This window comes from Homo sapiens, chromosome 8 (genome assembly GCF_000001405.40).
Source record: "Homo sapiens chromosome 8, GRCh38.p14 Primary Assembly".
In the NCBI taxonomy this organism is placed as follows: Eukaryota; Metazoa; Chordata; class Mammalia; order Primates; family Hominidae; genus Homo; species Homo sapiens.
This window is the reverse complement of record NC_000008.11, coordinates 89,747,984-89,770,694: the sequence shown is the minus strand read 5'-3', so window position 1 is coordinate 89,770,694 and position 22,711 is coordinate 89,747,984. Positions and strand designations below refer to the sequence as shown.

The window sequence follows — 22,711 nt, the reverse complement described above, 5'->3', positions numbered from 1 at the left end:
GATTCATTAACAAATTATTTATTAAAGATGGCAAAAAGCCATTTAAAGGACTATAAAATGTGTTCAGAGCAAACTTAGAGAGTCTGCTTTTGCATTCATTAGTATATTAAAAGAGATAAGAGTAACTTATACATGAGGTGAATGTCCCCATCTCCTAAACCTGTGTAAATAATCATCTTCCTTTTATTCTGGTTAAATAACCAGTGTCAATAACAATGTGTTATGCTTATTACTGCATTATGAGATTATAAGTAATATGCATCTGAAATATGAAAATATGATCTTATCAAACCCATTGATTTGTTGTATAAAAAATTCACACATATACAAATATTAGGGATTCTTTAAATAGAAATATCCCCAGTGTGATTAAGAGTTTGTCTATTTATCTAAAAAGATATATAGATATCAAAAGCTAAAAGGTTGAACAGGTTGAGAAACCTAAAGCTAAAATGTTAGGAACCACTGTTTCCCTCTGCATTTCCAAGTCACATATGATAAAAATCCTTAACTATTATATTATAAATTGATAGGATAAGAAGAGATGCTTTAAAATTTCTTAAAGGATGTAAAAGTTTCTTAAAGCAAATCATTAAATTTCCTTAATTTGAAAAATATTAATCACCGTGGGGCCTCAAGTTTATTTTCACCACAATTATGAGAGAAGAATAAAAATCACAGTTTAAAATGTAGCTTCAAAATTCTGGTTGACTAATTTTGTGTCTGAGACAAGGTTAAATCTGAGCAGAAGCAACTTTACTCTACCTATATATATCGTGCTTGATACTGGCCCTTGATTTTTGTCCAGGTTCATAGTTTTCAGGTGGCATATAGATAATTGTCCCTCCTTCTGGTGCAGATTTGCTACTTCGTGACTGTGAGAGGGACATCATGCGCCACTTTGATAAACCAAAATCTGCAATCTGTAAGGGACAAGAGCAAATAATTAAGAAATTTCCTCTTTAAAAAGTCCAAAAGTCAACTATCTTTTTGTATATTCACTGTATTTAGATATCAAACCAGAGAAAATGTAATATATTTTAATATTTTATTTCTGTATATTCCCCCAACTTCTTACAAAATTAAATTCCACACTGCTGAGCCAAATAACTCTAGGAGCAATACATACTGAGTTAAAGTTTAATATAACATTACAAATTTCAAAAGAGAGACTAATTTTTGAAAATTGAGCAGAGGCATTTTTTGTCTGATATTCTCAATGAGTGTGTACCTTGCACACCTTACTTTTCATGACATATAGCTTGATACCATGTGCTTCCTACATCTCACAGAGCTGCCAAGTCTACTCACATCTCATGCAATTGTCACTGGTCATTGTTTACAATTCTGGTTTATACAGTTGTATTAATAATGCCCTAAAGGTAGCATCCTTAAATTAAGAAATACACTAAATCTCAAAATTGTAAAGGTAATTATTATACAATTTTATGCTGATCACTAAAAGAAGTATTTCATGGAAACAGTATAATTGCAAAGAAAACATATTTATGTCCAATACAATGGGTGCCTAAAGAATTATCAGTGACAATATTCTGTGCCTTTGATATGTCCTGTACAGTTTTGCTTCAGTTGTAAATCTTATGCACATATTATACAGTATCTTATAACTAAATATTTAAAAGCTTCCTTATTTTTTACTTTATTTTTTAAAAATGTAAGACAAAATGTAAGAACAGAAATAATATTTAATTGACAAGGGAGTATGGGAAATCCTAAAAGACACTGAAATTACTTAAAATATTTTACTGCATACTTTAGAATTCAGCAGAGTGAAATGAGCTCCATGCAGCACATCATTTGTTTCCATTGTTTACCTCCTATATTTTTTACCAATTTTAACAAAATACATAATTTTTATTAGCATTTAGATGAATTTGAGATAAAAAAAATTATGGCCTCCATTCCCAAAAAGGAGGGGTAGAATAAATGAATTTTTCATTCATTTGCTACAATAAAAGAGTCAATTTAAGAAAAAAAATAAAAATAATCAAGAATTTTAAAATTGAATTCACAGAAAAGGACCAAGATGACTAAGTCATGAGAACAGCTGAGAAAAGCAGTTAAGCAAAGACTTTCAGAAAAATTTTTAAGGACAGAATGAAGAAATATGGGCTGTATAATAGCACTTTTAGGAGTATTCCAGACAAACTGAATGAGTGTTCTCCAAAAGCGCGGATTAACAAAAGGACTGATATTGACCCAGATGAAGGTTCTTATGGCCATGTGATACAGCTCTGATTCAAGCTCTGTACTGGTTCATATTTAATCATGACTTAAAGATACAAAAAATTAGCTAATTAAATTTCAGCATCACACAAAACTTGGAGAGAAACTTAAAACCTTTGGATTATAGAAATAACATTCAAAAAGGTCTTAAGAGACTGAAGCAATTGCTCCAATCTAACAAGATAAAATTTGATCATATCTAGAAAGTATTCTGCAAAGTACATTATTTTGTGTACTTTGTTGCTTAAGAAGAGGTGGCTTAAGCAACGATACGTGGCAAAAAGAACCTCCAAGGGTTTTTTGTTGACACTAAGCCCAATTTGAACTATGTGATATGACTACCCCTGGAAAGCTGATGAATTATTAAGGAACTATTAAGTATTTAGGGCCAAGGAAATGACACTTTCACTAAAGTCTGCATTCATCAAACCGCACCAAAAATAGTATTGTGTTCAGTTCTGACGATCAACATTTAAGTGAGATTTAAACAAAATGATGCATCTACATAGCACCAAGGATTAAAATCCATGTAATAAGAAAACGAGTTGAAGGAACTAAAGGGTATTTATCAGGGAGATGGATAAAATGCACTTGTACGTGAGGGTTTGGGAGACAGCTCATAGCTATCTTCAAATATTGAAAGGGCTGTCTTGCTGAAGTAACTAAATTGGATTTATTCTGTTTATCACAAAAAGTTGAACTAGGATCAATGTGTGGAAGCAACCAGGAAGGAATTTTGGTTGATCATTTAAGAAAATGTCACAATTATTCAATTAAGGATGTTAAGACTCCCTGTTACAGGATAACTGCTTTGGGAGACAGGGATTGTTGCAGTGAAGTATCAGAGAACTAGTTGACCATTAAGGTATTTCTACTTGATGGTTCTATAATTGATGGAATAGATTAGTCTCTTTTTTTCTTAGCAATACTGAGGCAGCAGCTTGCTTCTCTCTCCTTTCCCCTACCACTTTATTCTAAGGAGAGGAGTGTCTTCAATAAAAATTTTTCCCACTTATTTTCTCTCACATTTCTTGTTTTAATTTCCCTGTTGTTTCAACTTCTCTATTACTGATTTCTTTGAACATTTTTTATATTTATAATAATTTTCTGATTACATGTTATTAAAAGAAGTATAGCAAAATGATACATAAAAATATGGTGAGTTACATTTAGTATTAATTACTCAAAAACTACTTTTTATTTACACTCAGTTAGATATAGTATAGCTGTGAAATCACAATAGCCAGTGTCTTCAGCACTTAAGTCCTGCATCTTATTAAAAAATGAATTCAAGGTGGATCACAGATTACATATGTAACATAAAACTATAAAACTTACAGAAGATAACAAAAAAGGAAATCTTCAGTAAGTAGAACTTGGTGAAAAGTGCTTAGAGATGACAGCAAAAGCATGATCCATAGAAGAAAAAATATGGACTTCATCAAAATTAAAATTTTTGCTTTGTGAAAGTCCCTGTTAAAAGGATGAAAAGACAAACTATAACTGGGAGGAAATATTTGCAAACTACATATCTGATGAAGAACTACTACTGTAACAAATACAGAACTCTCAAAACTCAACAGTAAGAAAACCAAAGAATCCCTTTAGAAAATGAGCTTAAGACATGAGAGACATTTCACTGAAAACCACGTATGGGTGGCAAATTAGCATATAAAAAGGTGTTCGATATCATTAGCAGTTAGGAAAATGCAAATTAATACCAAGATGAGATATCACTACACATCTATTAGAACAGCTAAACAGAAAACAGTGATAATACCAAATGCTGGTGGGCATTTGGTATTATCATTTTGCTTTGTGAAAGTCCCTGTTAAAAGGATGAAAAGATAAACTATAACTGGGAGGAAATATTTGCAAACTACATATCTGATGAAGAACTACTACTGTAACATATACAGAATTCTCAAAACTCAACAGTAAGAAAACCAAAGAATCCCTTTAGAAAATGATGCGGAATAGCTGGATCTCTCACACATTGCTGGTGGAATGTAAAATGGTACAGCCACTCTGGAAAATAGTTGGATACTTTCTTTAAAAACTAAACACACCCTTACCATATGACCCAGCATTTGCATTCTTGGGCATTTATCACAGAGTAATGAAGACTTATGTTCACTCATAAACCTGTACAGCTTTGTTCACAGCAGCTTTGTAAATAATTACCCCAAAATGGAAAGAACCAAAATGTTCCTGAATGGTTAACTTTGGTACATTTATACTGTGGAATACTACTTATCAATAAAAAACAACTATTGTTACAAGCACAACTTAGACGGATCACAAGAGCATTATGTGACGTGAACAAAGCCAATCTCAAAATATCACATACTATATGATTCCACTTATATAGCATTTTCAAAATGACAAAATTAAAGAGATGGAAAGCAGATTAGTGGTTGTTAGGGGTACAGATTGTGGTAGGGAGGAAGTGGGTGAGGTAGGATGAGTGTTATCTTTGTGGTGATGTTATGAGTAGTGCTGTACCTTGATTGTTGCGGTTACTATGAACACACATTGTACTAATGTCAAATTCCTGGTCTTGAAATTATACTATAATTATGTGTGATATAACAATGTGGGAAACCAGGTGAAGGATACATGAAACCTCTTTATTACCTTTGCAACTTCCTATAAATATATAATAATTTTAAAATAAAAAGTAAAAAAAAAAGGTGATCTTGACAATTCAATTAAGAAACATAATGGCTTTGTATTTTGTACCATAATTCTATCTCTGTCTAGGAATAACTTCCTAACTGCAGTAGGAAGAAGGAGAATAGAAGATAGAAATTAGGGGCTATGGAAATTACTATTCATTAGTCTCTATCTCTAAGGAGAGACATGAAATTGGCTAGGTCGAAGAAATAACTAAAAAGTATTTTTAAAACTATAAGGACAAGGAAACATAAACTTTTTAAAAAAGTAATTACCTTAACATGAAATTCATTGTCCAATAAGATATTCTGAGTCTTCAAGTCATGATGAAGTAAAGGAGGAGTCATATTGTGCAGGTAATTTACACCAAGGGCAATTTCATGCAGGATGCGAAATCTCAATGGCCAAGCAACATCAGGATATTCAGTTTTCTTCATATATATGTGAAAAGAAAGAAAATGAAATTAGTCCAAATTTCACTATGTTTCACACTTAGAAAGTTAAATATTCCATGAGGAAATACAGTATAAACTAAGGTTAAAACATATGCTCATTTTTATAAAATAGCACCAATTTGATAGGGTTTAACATTTTTGTGTCTTACTTTCCTCACTTTATAGAGAAAATTATGATAACTTTATGGCACCAATACTTCCTTTTAGTTTATATTGGTCATGCAACTACATGGTTTTGGGTCTTTCTTCAGCTGACACAAATCTCAATTACTTTGTATCTGTATATAGCCAGAGTCATATACTTACACCCACATCCACCTCCTCATTCTATGTCTTAATCAGGTAATTTGAGTACACACAAATACACACAAAATTACAGACAGTTTTTTTCTAGTAAATACCAAGGCATTCATTCAAAATTTGTATTTTAATTTTTCTATTACTATAAAATCATACATTATAATCACTGCATCAGTTACAAATTATGATCATATTGTATTTATTGACTAAGCATTAATTTATCATACATTTAATCATATAATTAATTTATCTGCATTCCAGCTTATAAAATTAGCCTTTTGTTTTGTTTTTGTGGAAGGGACACTCATTTTTGTTTCTAAAACTGTATAGAACAGACACATTTAAAACATAACATTTTATTTTTCATAGTACTCAAATAATATCCATCTGAGTTTTCTTAAAATAAATGTTTTCTGAACATAAAAGTTAATGTGGCTTCCCAGGAGAATGAACATACTTTGGAAGATCAGGCAATTTGGGAAGATCCACGATGAATCACCAGGCACCATACCACATTTTTCTAAATGCTATGAAAAAGACTGCTTCTACTGAAAGTACAAAACTGTTCTTGAGAAGTTTTTCTGCAAATGCGTCAGCTTATAGTTCAGTGATCAATCTGGCAGGGGGAGTGGTTCAAAATATTTTAGACTGTTTATGATACATCTTGAGTTTTCTCAATGAATTTTGTGAGGTTGGGGGAGGGCACTTCAAGATAAATCCCACCCTAAATAATGCAATACAGGAAACCAAAAGAAACACAAAAAGCTGACGTGGAACATTACTTTCTCTGGCATACACAGAGGCCTGTCCCCTAGAGAAACTTAATCTTTTAATCTGTAAAAAAGGTAACTTTTTCTGAAAATTATGCAGTTTAAAGCAGTTACCAGGCCTCTCTGCAGCATAATATAATATGGGGGCTTGTGATCATGGAGACAAGGGAGAGAAGTGCTCACTGTATATTTTATGATTTTTTTTCCAGGAGTTAGCAATCCCCCTTGAGGAGGCTGTAGAATTTCCAGCGAGCTGCAAATTTGGGTGCCAGAGTATCTGCTGGGGTGTGGGAAGAAAATGTTAGATTTCTACTTATACTCATTTCTCAACAAAAATAAAAGAGAAATTGTGATTTATTAATATTTGTATCTTGGCTCTGTGGTAGTTATACAAATCTTACAGACTGACACCAGTTACTTATTCCATCCTTGTTTCAAATGGTCACAAGTCATGAATAGAATGTGATGTATTCTGAAACTGAGAGGAAGTTACTCTATGACTGACTGACAGTGGCACCCACTTTCCCTTGGCCACTTACAGGGCATTGTGTTACACTATCATTTATGAGTATCTATTGATTGGATTTTGTAGATTAATACAGTTTTAATTAAGCCAACCCTCAAAAAATGGACCAAGTAGTTTAAAAAGATCTACTGAAACTACAGACTCATGATAATATTAATAATGAATACATGTATTTTGAGAATGAGGACCCCTGAATTTGTTTACTCAAGGGATTCATAATCAAAGAGAGAGTGACTGGTACCTTGGGAAAAAGGGTAAATGGCTGATACCACTGTCTATTATTAGAAAAGCTAATGTATCTGGTATTCAGAGATAATTTATTAATATTTGGCCTGCTAATTCAGAACTTTATGAACTGGTATTAATAACATTAAATTTGAATTTGAAATTGCTATTAATATAAAATAAAATATCACTTAACAGTGGATTTTACAGTATGCAGAGTTTATCTCTTCCATTTCTACCCATGTAATATGCATGTAAATACTATAATTTGGTATAAATGTTAGGAATGGTAACCCAGGCAAAATAATCTAGAGTACAGGGCCTGAATCCACAGTGTTTTAATCAACACAAAAATGTCACAAAAGGTAAAATTTTATCCCTGTGATAGTTTTTCATTATTCTTTGATTCATCTATATACCCCTAAATAATCTGACCAAATATAAAATCAAAGTAAAATATAGTTTGAATAGTAAAAATGGCAATTATGGCCACTAAAACTGTGTAATACTTACCCTATGTAGGAGTTCATTTAATGATCCATTTGGCATGTATTCAGTAACTATTCCCAAAAATTCAGGCTCATTGCAAATTCCCAAAATTGGAAGAATGTAACTAAATCTAGCTTTGTGTAAAATTTCAGCTTCTCTTAAGACATCCTTTCTTTCACTAAGAAAAAAAAATGCATAATTATTCAAGTAATAAAAAAATATACAATTATCATGCCTATAAGACTAAGCCTGGATTTTTTTTCATTAATTAGCTATGTGACCTCATGTAAATTATGCAACTTCTCTGCACCTTAGTTTCATCATATTTAAAATAGAAATAATACCTACCCTATATATTCCACAGGTCTGTTTAGAGACCAAACTAACTTCTATAAGCCATTGACAGGTAAAAGTGCTAAACACAGGTTTATTATTATTGTACTTATCCCAGGAATGGGAAAGAACATAGTATTAAATTTATAAAGTCTATCTATGTTAGAACAATTGGTGCTTGAACTAATTACATGATTAAGTTTACATTGTATTCAAATGAGCATGTTTTATTAGAATATTATATTAAATTTTATGGTTGCATACCATATAAACATTTTCCAAATATCCTGAATATTAAAACCTTTAAATGTTATAGATTCAATAGCTGCATAAAAGTCAGTAATATTTATAAATTATATACCAGAACTCAGGAAAAGATCACTGAGAACAGGTAAATGCTCAATAATATTAATAGACTGCTGGGGTAACTGGCTCCCAGGTTCATTTGTTTATTCATATGTAAAACAAATATATATTTAACTATTTTTTTTTCTATTTTTCTTTGTCACCCTGGCTAGAGTGCAGTGGTGTGATCACAGCTCACTATAGCCTCAAACTCCTGGATTCAAGCCATCCTCCCACCTTAGCCTCCCCAGCAGCCAGCTAGCTCCACAGGCATGCAACCGTGCCTATTTTTTTTTTGTAGAGACAAGGTCTCACTATGTTATTCAGGGTGGCCTCAAACTCCTGGGCTCAATTGTATCAGACGTCCAATAGGTAGGTATCAAATGATTTCAAGGAAATTAAAGGGAAGGCTAAAGTTGGGAAATTGTGAATTGTTTAATGCACTCCTTTTATGTAATATAAAAGGAGTGAAGGTGAATAAGACAGGTTAGGGACATATCTCAGTCTTAAAGCCTGGTTAGGGTGGTGAAACTTCACTTAGCAGTCACTAAGTGATTGACGGTTTGTTTGCTTTTTTTAACATACAGAATACACACTGGAAACTTTTTTTTTTTTTAACAGACCAGATCTTGCTATGTCGCCCAGACTGGCCCTCCCTACTCTGCCTCTTGAGTAGCTGGGACTACAGGGGTGTGCCAATGTACCTGGTGTGACTGAAAGTTTTTGAGTTGGGGAATGACAGTAGAATACAATTTTAAGATGATCAATTTGGCAACAAGATGTAGGATTAGTAGAAAGTGGTAGAGTTTGAAAGTCAGGTGTTAGGAGATTTTAATACCAGTTAATACATGAACCTAAAACTACAAAGGTAGCAGTGGAAATGGAAAGAAAAACACTAAGTGAATAGAATGCCCGCGTTGTAGTGACTGACTGTAGGGGGTTAAAAAAAAAATGAAAAGGAATTGGAGATGTCATTATTTTTTTACCCTGAGTGACTGGATGTTGGCTGCAGCAATGACAGAAATAGAAATGTTTCCAGGAGAAGCCTATTAGGTAAGTAATGATGATAAGTTAGTTCTTACACCTCCCAAGCTCTGAATGAATGGCTGTTGAAATATGAATAGCAACAGACATTCTAGACCAGACTAAGAGGACTACTTTTAAAAACAAACAAAAAAACAAAGCAAAAGAATCTTCGTCATTTATTTTTTGAATAGGTCATATATTTATATGTCTTAAAATTCAAGAGTAACAAGAAGGCATAAAGTGAAAAGCTTCTCTCATTCTCTGTCCTTCAATCACTTAATACTCCAACTGCTAGGAAACCAGTATCAGTTTGTGAGACCCATTTTAATTAAATGTTTATTCCCTAGATGGAAATAGTTCCATATCTGCCCCAAGAGATTTAGGCCAACAATAGAGGATGACCCTGAAGATTCCTGGATACTAAGAACAATAGAGAGTGCATGCTGCAGAAGTCTCAGTGACACTTCACACACTCTTTCCTCCTCCCATTAAGAGGCATTCTTCTTTCCACTGTGACCCTATTACATGTCAGTCACTTTATATGCACTAGCATCTTAAGATCACCCTCTAAACATAGTTTCATTAGCTCCACTTTATAAATGAGGGCACTAAGGCTCAGAAAAATTAATACTTTTCTAATGGTCACACTAATAAGTGGCAGGGTTGGCGTCAGATTTGAATTGCAATCATGGGACATTAAAGCCTGCATTCTTTCTACCCTATTGCTTGATCAAAGAATATAGTAGGAAAGTTCTTGAAGGTAGATTTTTGGCAAGATTGAGTGAGTGGGAAATTTTTTTTAAAGCCAAAAGATTTTAAAAATTGATTTTTACATTTTGAAAATAAAGGTGTAAAGTACAGCTTCCATAGTCACATCACCAAAATTAACTCAAAAATTTAATCAGAAAAGTTATGTCATCTACAGGGTATTTGAACAACCAATTGGACTCATTACTCATAAGGGGTGGGAAGATTGTTGGGGAAGGTCCACTCATCGGATAGAAGTCAGGTTATGGAGACTGATTCACCAGTCATTAAAATAAGAGCATGTAACATTGCATAAACTTATTTTTTTTCAGGTCATCCCAAAGAACAATGCAAACATTGTTCTCCATAGTCCGAGAAACACATGTATTTATTATTCGTATTTTATAAGTGAGGAAAGAGACACCAGTGAGTCAACTGCATAGCCTCATCTAATGCTCAGACTACATAAATACTGCAATGATAAGATCTTAAGTAACAAATTGGAGAAAAGAATGTGATGCAGTAAATGCCAGAGTGTTTCGCTGGTCTTATGGCTTCCTCGAAGACAGAATTAATTTCCTACCCAATTCAGTGAAGAATTTTAGACTATGAAAATTGTTCATGAGTATGGGAAGGAAACTCCCTCTTCACTTCTTGGTCCCCAAACTGCACAAAGCTTAGATAAATCAAAATCCTGAGAAGCAGCACCCAAAGTGGGAGGATCAATTGGCTTTTCAATACCTAATGGGTCCATCAGTGCTACATTTCCATATAGTGTTTGCATAACTGGTTCTAACATATATCCACCCTCTCTAACCAACCACCACCCTTAAAAGTTGACTACAGACACATATACACACTTGTCCAGCACTTGCTCCACAGAATATAAGGCCTGGAGTAAACAGACACCACACCTTGTATATCACTGAATCTGGATTATGATAGACAAGAAGTGGAAACAAGCTCTAGAAGTGTCCCAAATCTCCTGTGCCATTTAGGCCATCGAAGCCTGACAGTGAGAGACAATGAAGAAAAGCCACAGGCAGGTGAAAATCCAGTAACTTTGGCAGGGCGGAAGCTGAGGAATTTATCTGATGCTGGATACTCACAGCTTCTGGCCAATCAGGCATCGGGGATGACGTATTTTCACATTAGATATAGGAGGAGGAGAAGAGAATGTTGTAATCATGGATGTTAACTCACTAAGAACTGAATGCTGGGCCTAGTTAAATCCCTGTAGGAAGTAAAATACACAAGACTAGTGACCCATTGACTAATACACAGTCACAGGTCTATGGCACGCGGTTGTAATGTTCTTCTGAAAACAGAAACTAATGCTAACCTTCCCTTAAAACCTGTACAAACCAATAAGTGAAAGCCATTTACAATTTCTGGCCATTTAACAGTCTTTTGGTTCAATTTATTGTGGCAAAAATAGCACACATTTCCTCTACTTAATCTTCCCTGTGAGAGAAACTGAGACTGGGAGAAACTGAACTGCTAGTATTGAGTTTGATATAAAACGTTCCTGACAACACATAATAAACCAAAACCAAAATAAAAACAATAAGAAGCAAAACATCCTTGATTCTAAAGCAGTGCGGTCCAATAAACATATAATGTGAACACCACCACATACAATTTAAAATTTTCTCGTGGCCACATAAAGTAAAAAGAAACACATAAAATGAATTTTAATCTTATATTTAACCCAAGATATCAAAAATGTTATTTCAGCATATAATCAATAAACAAATAATAAAATATTATAAGTTCTTTTTTTAATAAATACTAAGCATTCGAACTCTGGTATTTTACACTTAGGTCACACTTCAATTCGGACGGGCACATTTCAAGTGCTCAATAGCCACCTGTGGCTAAGAGCTACCTACTGGACAGTGCAGCCCTACAGCCCAATTTCAAAAATAAGGAAAAAACAAAGCAAACAAAACCCACACCCACTATATATAAACACACATCAATTTCAGTAAACCCAGCGTTTAGAGTTAGGCAGTGATTGCTGATTTTTGGAGTACGGAGCCAGAACGCCTAGGAGTAAGAGGGAAGGAGAGAAAGGGTAATGGAGAGATGTGTGGAGGAATGCAACTGCTGCATCTCCAGAGAAGCCTGTGCTCCCTACGGTGCCAGAGCTTGAAGGGTGGGTGCTCCCTATCTCCCAAGCTTGAAGGGCTCCCTAGAGGTGACGAGGTGAGGCCGGCCCCAAGCGGTCACTGCCATTTGGGCTCTAGAGCCCGCTTGTCAGGGGGCTTGAGGGGATGCAGGAGTTGAGGGCTCTTCCAGGGAACCCCAGTGACTGCCTACCTGTCGAGCAGCGGAGTGTGGATGTGCAGGTGCTTCACGGCCACCTGGACGCGCCAGTCTGCGTGGCGGGCGGACGACACAGTGCCAGAGGCGCCGCGGCTCAGGTAGCGCAGGTCGGCGAGTTTGTGGTAGGGAATGGTGGGCAGGGCGCTGCAGATGGCCTCCCCGTTCATGGTCCCGGGCGCTCAGGCCGGTTCCGGGTGTGCCCCCTGCTGCGGCGGCTCCCAAGGCTCCCACGCCGCGCTCAGGCGCCCAGATACGCCCCTGCACGAGCGAGGCCGGCAAGACCCTTTTTGCCCCGCAACACTAGGTCACGAGGGCGCCCATTCCCCGGATGGCCCACGCCAGCCGCTGCTTCTCCGAACCAGAGCTGACTTCTTTTCTAGAGACTGGTGCCAACGCCGTAGCGCCGCGAAAGAGCTTCCTCTCTCGCAGCCCCGGCCCTCCCCCCGGCGCGCGCAGCGACCAGCTCCGGCCGCCCGAGCTCCTCCCTCCCCAAACTTCGCAGGTTACGTCAGCGGCGGACGGCAAGGCGGGGAGAGGGGCAGCCCGCTCGCGGCCCTCCCGCCTGGCTCTCGCCTCGGCCTGCGGCCGGGATCCTCCGCCCGGGTCGCGCAGCGGAGGCCGAGGGCTGGGACGGGCGGCTGGGAAGTGGGAAAGGGAGCTCCTTTTGTCTTCTCTTCCCATCCCCCAGGTTTGGGAAAGTTTTCCTTTTGGGAAAGCCCCTCTCTTCAGCCTGCTGGCGGGTGTCGGATTGGTTAGCGACCACCGGCCCCCGCCTCCCCCAACAGGATTCTCCTTTGGGCCACAGGTCTTCCGGAAGTTGCCAAACCCCGGTAGCGGCAGCGTCCGGCTGGGGGCTTTATTAGGGGGCACCGGGGTCTGCTTTCCGACTCCCTTCCGACTCCGCGCCTGCGCAGGAAGCGATTTGGGGAGTGTTGTGAATTCCGAGGGCTCCACACTTAAGAGGTTGTACACTCACCTGTCTACCTGGACTCCAATTTCCATATTTCCAGCCACTTGAGGACTGAGAGGTGGATGATAAACCCTGTCATAGTGGAGCAAGTTCAGGTGTTTAACCGCTGTTATGGGGGATCTGCCTTTTCTCCCTCTTCTTTCTTACTTCCATAAGTATGTATGTGCAGAGATTGAAAAATAACCTTGAGAGAGTCCATCCATCTAACTCCAGGTAAGACTGCAAATATTTCTTTCTTATAAATCTGGGAGGAATGCAGTCAGTGTTTCATGCCAACCAAAAAAGACTGCAAACGTTTTTCCATCCTTCTGCCTTGAATACCTTTCTACTTAGATGACTATTTTGTAAGACGTGAGTGCAAATGTTATATACAATACCAACTCCATACTAGATGTTTAATTAATTCTAGGGATTCAGTAATAAGGAATGACTCGAACAGATTTCTGCCTACAGACAGCTAATGCTTCTTGTATTTTTGCATTACCTGAAATGAAAGTAGCAATGTTAGATTTTACAGTAGTGGGAGGTTGTAAACAATAGTATGTTAAACATTTTTGATCATTTATAATAAAATGTTCAGCACTAAACATATGGTCTGATACTCTGTGCTTTATTGCTTAATAAGCTTTTTTTTTTCTTTTCGAGAGGGAGTCGTGCTCTGTCACCCAGGCTGGAGTGTAGTGGCGCGATCTCTGCTCTGCTCATTGCAACCTCTGCCTCCCTGGTTCAAGCAATTCTTCTGCCTCAGCCTCCCAAGTAGCTTGGATTACAGGCGCCCGCCACCACACCCAGCTAATTTTTGTATTTTTAGTAGAGACGGGGTTTCACCGTGTTGGCCAAGCTGGTCTCGAACTCCTGACCTCGTGATCCGCCCACCTTGTCCTCCCAAAGTGCTGGGATTACAGGCGTGAGCCACCGCGCCCGGCCAATAAGCTTTTTTCTTAAAAAGTACTCAGAAGACTTTTCTATCCATTCATTCTGTTAACGCGCGTCAGTGTGAAGAGACCACCAAACAGGCTTTGGGTGAGCAATAAAGCTTTTAATCATGTGGGTGTAGGCCGACTTAGTTCGAAAAAGGAGTCAGCAAAGGGAGATAGGGGTGAGGCAGTCTTTATAGGATTTGGGTAGGTAGTGGAAAATTACAGTTAAAGGGGGTTTTTCTCTTGCGGGCAGGGGTGGGGGTCACAAGGTGCTCAGTGGGGAGCTCCTGAGACTCATTGTCCAGGAGAAGGAGTGTCACAAGGTCCATTGATCAGTTAGGGAAGGGCAGGAACAAATCGCAATCGTGGAATGTCATCAGTTAAGGTAGGAACTGGCTATTTTCACTTTTGTGGTTCTTCAGTGGCTTCAGGCCATCTGGATGTATACGTGCAGGTCACAGGGTATATGATGGCTTAGCTTGGGCTCAGAGGCCTGACATGTTTATCCAGTCAATTAATTAAAAACCTGAGTCCTAGAAAAAGAGAACAAAAAATAAACAGGGAAGAAATGATCAAAATAATAATTTAAAAATTTTTGCTAGGGCAGGAGTCTTCATATTTAAAGGGCCCACCAAGTAAAAAGACCTACATTAAGGCACATACATCATTAAAAGGGTGAGAACACTAACACTAAAGGGAAGATTCTAAACGTTTTCAGAGGGCGGAAACAAAAATTAAAGAGATGGGAATTAGAATGGCATTGAATTTCTTAACAATGTTACTAAGTCATTGTTATCCTGAAATATAATGAAGTGAAATTTTTCCAATATTCTGAAGGACAGTAACTTCCAACTTAGAATTCTATAGTCAAACTTTCCGTCAAATGTAAGGGCAGAATAAAAACATTTTCACATATACAAGAATGAAATACTTTCTTTCCATGTCATTTTTTTTTTTTAAAGAAAGCTCCTAGAGAATGTGTTCAGCAAAACATGGGAGTAGCCCAAGAAAAAGAAAGACATGAGATCCAGAAAACCGGACCAGGAAATTAAGAAGGGAAACTCCAGGATGAGAGAAATATGGCAGAATTGGAGAGCAACCCATTTTCACTGAACAGGGAGATGGCAGACTTCAAGAGAAAACAGTAGTTACAGTAATTGAAATGATAGATTATCTAATTTTGAGTATTTGAGAAATTATATTGATAGATGTTTGATAGATCTAATGAACTATGGGATAAAATTGGAGAATGAATTGTAAAAAAAAATACAAGTAAAAAAAGGAGACAATTGTTAATTCCATGAAAATTACATCAGAAGGGAGACAACATTTCTCTAAACTGTTTTGTGGTGGTGAAAAATGTAGAACTTTTCAGAACTTTTGAAATGCTAATATGCATCTCTAAGAAGGAGAGAGCATGAAGCATAGAACTTCATGGAATTTATTTGTATTGTTAATTACATTACTTTTAAATTTACTTTTTAAAACCATATCACATGGTTTAAAATTTAAAACAATAAGGACTCATAATGCAATAGAAAAATTGAGAAGAGGACTTAGATACCTTGAAAAAGAGGTGAAAAGGTTCTCAACATCATTAATTATCAGGGAATCACAAATTTTATTCACATTGCAACACTACTATCCAAACAGTAGAATGAATAAAATTAAAAAGACAGAATATACCAAGTGTGAGTGAGGATTTGGAGCAACAGGAGCTCTTGTACACTGCTCATGGGAGTGTTGATTGGTTCAATCAATTTTGTAAATTGTATGTCAGTATCTATTAAAATTGTAGATATGCAGATCCTATGACCCAGTAATTCCTTGCTTCGGTATGTGGACATGTGTATGCATCTACTAGAATGTTCATAGCAGTGGTGTTTATAATAGCCTCAAACTGGAAATTACCCAGATATCCATAAATAGTAGAATAGATAAATACATTTTGGCACATTTATGCAATATAATACTAAATGGGAATGAAATTAAACAGTGTACAAATATAATGTTGGATGAAAAAAGCCAGATACAGAAGAGTACATATTGCATGAGTCCATTTGTATAAAGTACAAAAATAAATAAAACTAACTTATGCTTATAGAAATCTTCTCTCTAGTAGGGGAGAGGCATTGATTAGAAGGGAATCATGAGGTATTTAGGATGATGGTAATGTTCTATTTTTTGATTCAGGACCTAGGCTGTAGGTGCCAGTTGCATGGGTGTGTTCAGTTTATGAAAATTCTTGGAGATTACACTCACATTCACTTTTCTGAATATAGTACTTCAATAAAAAGTTAATTGGTTTAAATATAAAATAAACATGCACATATATATAGGCATATATTGTATATGCATATATAAATATAGATTTATATATTATATTACTTCTGTTTATATTTATATATTTAAAATATATAAATATATTTAAAATATATATATTTATTTTAAATATATATTTTAAATATATATATTTATTTTAAATATATATTTTAAATATATAAATATATATATTTTAAATATATAAATATATATTTTAAATATATATAAATATGTATATATAAATATATATTTATATATTAATATATATATATACTATGTGTGCATGTTTACATTTAATTATATATAAATTATATATAAAATATATATATAAAATATCTGTCCCTTTTATGTAATTATTATAACACTATATACTCGTCTACTTTGCTTACTTTTCACTTAATGTATCTTGGATATCTTTCCATATGAATGCATAAAAAGCTCTCTTATCTTTTTTATTTTCTAGACGCTGATGGATATACCATAATTTATCCCCCATTGATAGGCATTTACTTTGTTTTCACACATATGCTATTACAGATAATGCTGCAATAGTTAATTTTTGCTTATGTTATTTCATACATATATATCTACGTATTCCAGAAGCCAAATTGCAGGATCAGAGTATGTTGGTTTGTAACTTTGGTTGATGTCATTGAATTGTTCTTCATTGAAGTTATACTAATTTTCTTTTCCTGTAGATGATGAAAATAGCTATTTCTCCACACACTTACTTTCCTTCCTTTTAAAGATGGATAGTACGTTGTTGGTCTGCTGATTCCTGAAGTGTTCGGTGCTTCTAAATTCATGTAAATGCTAAGATTCTTTTTATCACAAGCCTTCTAAATATTTTTTAATCACCACCTTAAACCTTTAGCTTTCATGATAGGTTTTACCAGTATACAGTTTTAAAAACATATATTATTAGTCATATATGGGAATTAATTAAATTATATATTTCTTCATATACATATAGTTCAATTCCCACAATTAATTGGCTAAAGATAGAAAGTTTAAGGGATATCGATGCTGAAATACATCAACTAAACAAGAAAGAAAATATTAGAATATTTACGCAAAGTAGGCTTAAAAAACAAGAATCACATCTATATGTTGATTTCATCTGTTCAAAATTCTATAAAATTACATCAATATTTGTTTTTCCGTGAGATAAGGGTTATTTATACCTGTATGTATTATTTTAGGAAATTGAACCTTGAAATTGCATATCTCTTCAATTAGACACGAGACAAGAAATGGAAAATAAACTACCTAAAAAACTACAAATTTAAGAATTTCAAACATTTCATATTGTAAACTTTTCTAATTTTTGGTCTAAAAGCACCTAATAAGTTTTAAAGACACAAATCCTGGGGAAGTGTCTATAATTGCATAATAATAACTGTACTGCATGGGAAAACTAATGTTTAGGGTACATTTGATACCTTCACCCCCAAAACTTTTAATACATGATGTATCTGATGATAGAGTCTATTATTATGAGGAGATAGAAAAATATACTTTTTGCAGCTAACTAGTAAAATCATGTTTCTCATTTAGCCATCTGTATTCAATCCTAAAATTGAACATGTCATATTTAAATTGATTGGCGAAATGATGTTTTTTTCTTTTGAATTATTAGCAAACATTACATGGAAATCAACCTTTTAATATGATATTTACTAATAACACTTTTCTCAAATATTTGTCAATTTAAAGTTACATTTGAATCTTACCATTTGGAAAAAAGGTGAAATTTTTAAAAAAAATTCTAAGAAGGTGAAGTTAATATATATTTCTTTGAAAGTGCTGAAAAGTAAAAACAAAACAAAACAGTTGGAGACACTGAGCTAGTACAATCTCCCACCTAATTCAAGAATATCTAATGAAGAGTTGACCAGTTCTTTTGAACATTCCCTGGCAAAAGGGAAATCACTACATTTTGAGCAAGCCCTTTCCATTGGTTACAGATTTCTTTTGTTAAAATTCTCTAACATTCTAAATTTTAGGAGGTTCTTCTGGTCTCAATATTACTGGCTTTTGTTGTATTAAGTCTAACTCTCCTACCTAGACAATTGAAACAAAGGGTCTACCCCTTTTAAGGCGGTATGAGGGATTTAAAAGATAAATACTTGGAAGATAGATATGTCATCTTTAGTCTTCTTTTACTTCAACTTGGTTTTTAGTCTCTGTGGTTGTCCTATATTCATCAATATCCCCGCCTCCAAATAGATTAGAAAATTTTGTGTGAAATCTGACAGATGAGAGGGATTGTGGCTATACCTGTCTTTGATCTGAATCTATTCACGCAATGGAAGACGGCCCTGCTAAACTATTCATTTAGGTTGGGCCTAAATTCTTTTCTTTTCTTTTCTTTTCTCTTTTCTTTTCTTTTCTTTCTTTCTTTCTTTTTTTTTCTTTCTTTCTTGTCTTTCCTTCTCTCTCTCTTTCTCTCTCTTTTTCTCTTTCTTTTCTTTTTTCTTTCTTTCTTTCTTTTCTCCGTTTCCTTCTCCTCCTTTTTTTCCTTCTTCTCCTCCTCCCCCTCCCTCTCACCCCCTTCCTCTTCTTTCTTCATCCTTTTCTCTTAATGAAGTGCCTTTAAAACAGGTTTTCCCTCTTGTACAATTGATTCTTTTAGACCCAGTGTTATTGTTTGAACCATGTTTCCCAAAAAGATGTTGAAGTCCTAACCCTCAATACCGATGACCGTGACCAACCATATTTTGAAATAGAATCTTTACAGCTGATCAAATTAGGATAAGGTTATTAGGATGGGACCTAATCCTGACAGTGTCTTTATAATGAGGGGAAATTTGTACATCATGACAAGCATGCATAGAGGGAAGATACTGTGAAGACATAGGGAGAACACTATCTGCAAGCTATTGAACAGACTAGACTACCAGAAGCTAAATGAGAAGAATGGAATGGATTCTCCCTCATAGTCATCAGAAGGAACCAACTCTGCTGGTGCTTTGATTTTGGACTTCTAGCTTCCAGACAATAGATTTCTGTTGTTTAAACCATTCTGTGTAGTTTTGTTATGGCAGCCCCAGGAATCTAATATACTCAGCTACAATTTAAAAATACTTTTTAGGATAATTATAAATTTATAGGATGTTGCGAGGATAATACAGAGAGGTCTCATGTATCCTTCATTCAGTTCCCGCCAGTGGTTATATCTTACAGAATTGTAATACAATATAAAAACCAGTAATATAGCATTCATCCAATATATATATATTGTTCTGTGTCATTTTATCACATGTGTAGATTCCTTTATCACCACCCCAGTCAAGATCCAGAACTATCCCACCACAAAAAAGATTTCATTTATACTCTTTACTTTCACACTCACCCCCTAACTCTCCCACCATCCTTAATCCCTATTAATCACTAATCTATTTCTACTCTATTACATTAATGGAATCATAAAGTATGTGATATTTTGAGATTGGCTTTGTTCACTCAGCATAATGACCTTGAGATTCATCCAAATTGTTGCTTAGAATTAGTATTTGGTTCTTTTTTTATTGCTAAATAGTATCCATTGTATAGTGTATCACAGTGTTTTAACCATTCACCTGTTGAGTACAGTTTATGCTCAACCTTCATTATCCCAGAGAAGTGCTTAGGTGTCCCAGATGATTGATTGGTCCATGAAATGCTCAGTGGTCTGGATACCATACTGTCTGAGGGAGAGGGATGCACAGCTGGGCAGAGCTGGACCAGTAAAGCTTGCACTCAGTTCCTTCAATGGTGGCTTCCAGCCCCAATGGGGATCAGAGGGCAGTCCCCAGGTCCCTGGAGAAATGCCCAGGTGAGGAGTGGTGCAATGCTGCTGCCCCAAGGTCCCAGCACAGGGATGGAGGGGTGGTCCCAGTGCCATGCCACAGCCAAGTGAGAGGGAATGTATTTTTTCATAGTTATTGTAACTGAAATTGCCTTTTTTTATTTGGTTCTCACCTTGATCATTATAAGGGTATAGAAGTGATACTGATTTTTGTACATTTCTTTTCTATCCTGAAATTTTACTGAATTCATTTATCAAATCTAAGCTTTTTTTTTATCGAATCTTGAGGGTTTTCTAGATATGAGGTCATATCATCAACAGAGATATATTGACTTTCTCTTTTCCAATTTGGATGCCTTTTATTTTCTTTACCTTGCTTAATTGCACTGGCTAAGACTTACAGTATTATGCTGAATATGAGTGGCGAAAGTGGGAATCCCTGTCTTGTTTCTAGTTCTTAAAGAGAATGCTTTCATATTTTCCTCATTCAGTATGATACTGGCTGTTGGTTTGGCATACATGGCTTTTATTATTTTGAGGTATATTCCTTCTATGCCTAATTGGTTGAGGCTTTTTATCATGAAGTGTGGATGAATTTTTTCAAATGCCTTTTCTGCATCTATTGAGGTGATCATGTTTTTTTCCTTAATTATGTTTATGTGATGAAGCCCATTAATTGGTTCACATATGGTAAATGATCCTTGTATATGTGGTATAAAACCCACTTGATGATGCTGTACTATCTTTTTGATGTGCTGTTTGATCTGGCTTGCTAGTACAGTGCCTAGGATTTTTGTATGTATGTTAATCAGGGATGTTTATCTGTAGTTTTCTCTTTTTCTTGTGTCCTTATATGTTTTTGGTATCAGCATGATACTGGCTTCATAGAATGAGTTAGGAAGAATTCTCACCTCCTCAATTATTGTAAACAGTTTATCTTTTCAAAAGCAGTATTTTGGCTGGGTGCAATCACGCACACCTGTAAACCTATCACTTTGGGAGGTCAAGACCAGAGGAGTTCAGGACCAGTCTGGGTAATATAGTAAGGTCCAATCTCTGAAAAACATTTTTTTTTAATTTTTTACAAATTTGTTGAGCATGGTGGTTTGTGCCTATAGTCCCAGGTACTCAGGAGGCTGAAGTGGGAAGATTGCTTGAGTCTAGGAGTTCAAGGACATAGTAAGCCATAACTGCACCACTGCACACAAGCCTGGGTGACAGAATGAGACCTGGTCTCCAAAAACAAAACAAAACAAAACAAAACAAAAAAGAAAAGCCCTTTTGTTTCATTGACCCTTCCTATTGTTTCTGTTTGTGTCTCTGTTTCTTTTAGTTCTGCTATAATCTTTCTTTTTTTCTTCTGCTAACTTTGGGCTTGGTTTGTTGTTTTATATATAATCAACACCTTGAGATGTGATGTTAGGCTATTAATTTGTGATCTTTCTTTTTTTATTATACAGGCATTTAACACTGTAAACTTTACTCTTAGCACTGCCTTTGCTATATCCCAGAGTTTTCATGTGTTTTGCTTCCATTTTCATTCACTTATAATTTCCATCTTCATTTCATCATTGACCCAAAGATTCATCAGGAGCACGTTGTTTAATTTCCATGTATTTGTATAGTTTACAAAGTTCCACCTGGTATTGATTTGTAGTTTTTTTTTTTTTTTTTTTCTTTTTGAGACGGAGTCTCGCTCTGTTGCCCAGGCCGGACTGCGGACTGCAGTGGCGCAATCTCGGCTCACTGCAAGCTCCGCTTCCCGGGTTCACGCCATTCTCCTGCCTCAGCCTCCCGAGTAGCTGGGACTACAGGCGCCCGCCTAATTTTTTGTATTTTTAGTAGAGACGGGGTTTCACCTTGTTAGCCAGGATGGTCTCGATCTCCTGACCTCATGATCCACCCGCCTCGGCCTCCCAAAGTGCTGGGATTACAGGCGTGAGCCACTGCGCCCGGCCGATTTGTAGTTTTATTCTGCTGTGATTTGAGAAGATACTTGATATGATTCCAATTTTTTAAAATTTATTGAGACTTGTACTGTGGCCTAACATATGGTCTATCTTGGAGAATGTTCGATGTGCTGATGAGAAGTATGTATATTCTGCAGTTGTTCAGTAGAATGTTCTGTATGTTTGGTGAGTCCGGTTGTTCTAGAGTATAGTTTAAGTCTAATGTTTCTTTGTTGATTTTCTGTCCAGATGATCTGTCTAGTGCTGTGAGTGGGGTGTTGAAATCTCCCACT

At 35.9% G+C, this 22,711-nt stretch overlaps 1 protein-coding gene and 1 long non-coding RNA gene across 4 annotated transcripts in view, besides 3 other annotated features; one reads left to right on the top strand and one right to left on the bottom strand.

The window, feature by feature from the left end:
- RIPK2 (receptor interacting serine/threonine kinase 2) overlaps positions 1–12,879 on the bottom strand; it is a 33,249-nt gene extending 20,370 nt beyond the window's left edge. The window contains exons 1-4 of one of the 3 annotated variants that reach the window (NM_003821.6): positions 12,462–12,879; positions 7,713–7,866; positions 5,199–5,354; positions 766–923 (exon numbers count right to left, since the gene is read on the bottom strand). In NM_003821.6, the coding sequence (NP_003812.1) occupies positions 766–923; positions 5,199–5,354; positions 7,713–7,866; positions 12,462–12,634 (641 nt within the window). In that variant the 5' untranslated portion in view covers positions 12,635–12,879. Of the gene's footprint in view, positions 1–765; positions 924–3,585; positions 3,687–5,198; positions 5,355–7,712; positions 7,867–12,461 lie in introns of those variants that run through there. The other 2 variants (NM_001375360.1, XM_011517357.3) reach the window with 2 other exon arrangements.
- Positions 11,036–11,125: an enhancer, noted in NCBI's record as "active region_27605". NCBI's record gives its function as "activates an Ori minimal core promoter by ATAC-STARR-seq in GM12878 lymphoblastoid cells {active_cell/tissue: GM12878}" and the evidence as "EXISTENCE:reporter gene assay evidence [ECO:0000049][PMID:35858748]".
- Positions 12,404–12,473: an enhancer, noted in NCBI's record as "active region_27604". NCBI's record gives its function as "activates an Ori minimal core promoter by ATAC-STARR-seq in GM12878 lymphoblastoid cells {active_cell/tissue: GM12878}" and the evidence as "EXISTENCE:reporter gene assay evidence [ECO:0000049][PMID:35858748]".
- The window catches only part of PARAIL (palmitic acid regulated anti-inflammatory lncRNA), a 40,313-nt gene continuing 30,585 nt past the window's right edge, over positions 12,984–22,711 (top strand). Inside the window, exon 1 of the long non-coding RNA NR_125822.1 lies at positions 12,984–13,650. This is a non-coding gene — a long non-coding RNA (palmitic acid regulated anti-inflammatory lncRNA). The remainder of the gene's footprint in view (positions 13,651–22,711) is intronic.
- Positions 13,014–13,133: a silencer, noted in NCBI's record as "silent region_19345". NCBI's record gives its function as "represses an Ori minimal core promoter by ATAC-STARR-seq in GM12878 lymphoblastoid cells {active_cell/tissue: GM12878}" and the evidence as "EXISTENCE:reporter gene assay evidence [ECO:0000049][PMID:35858748]".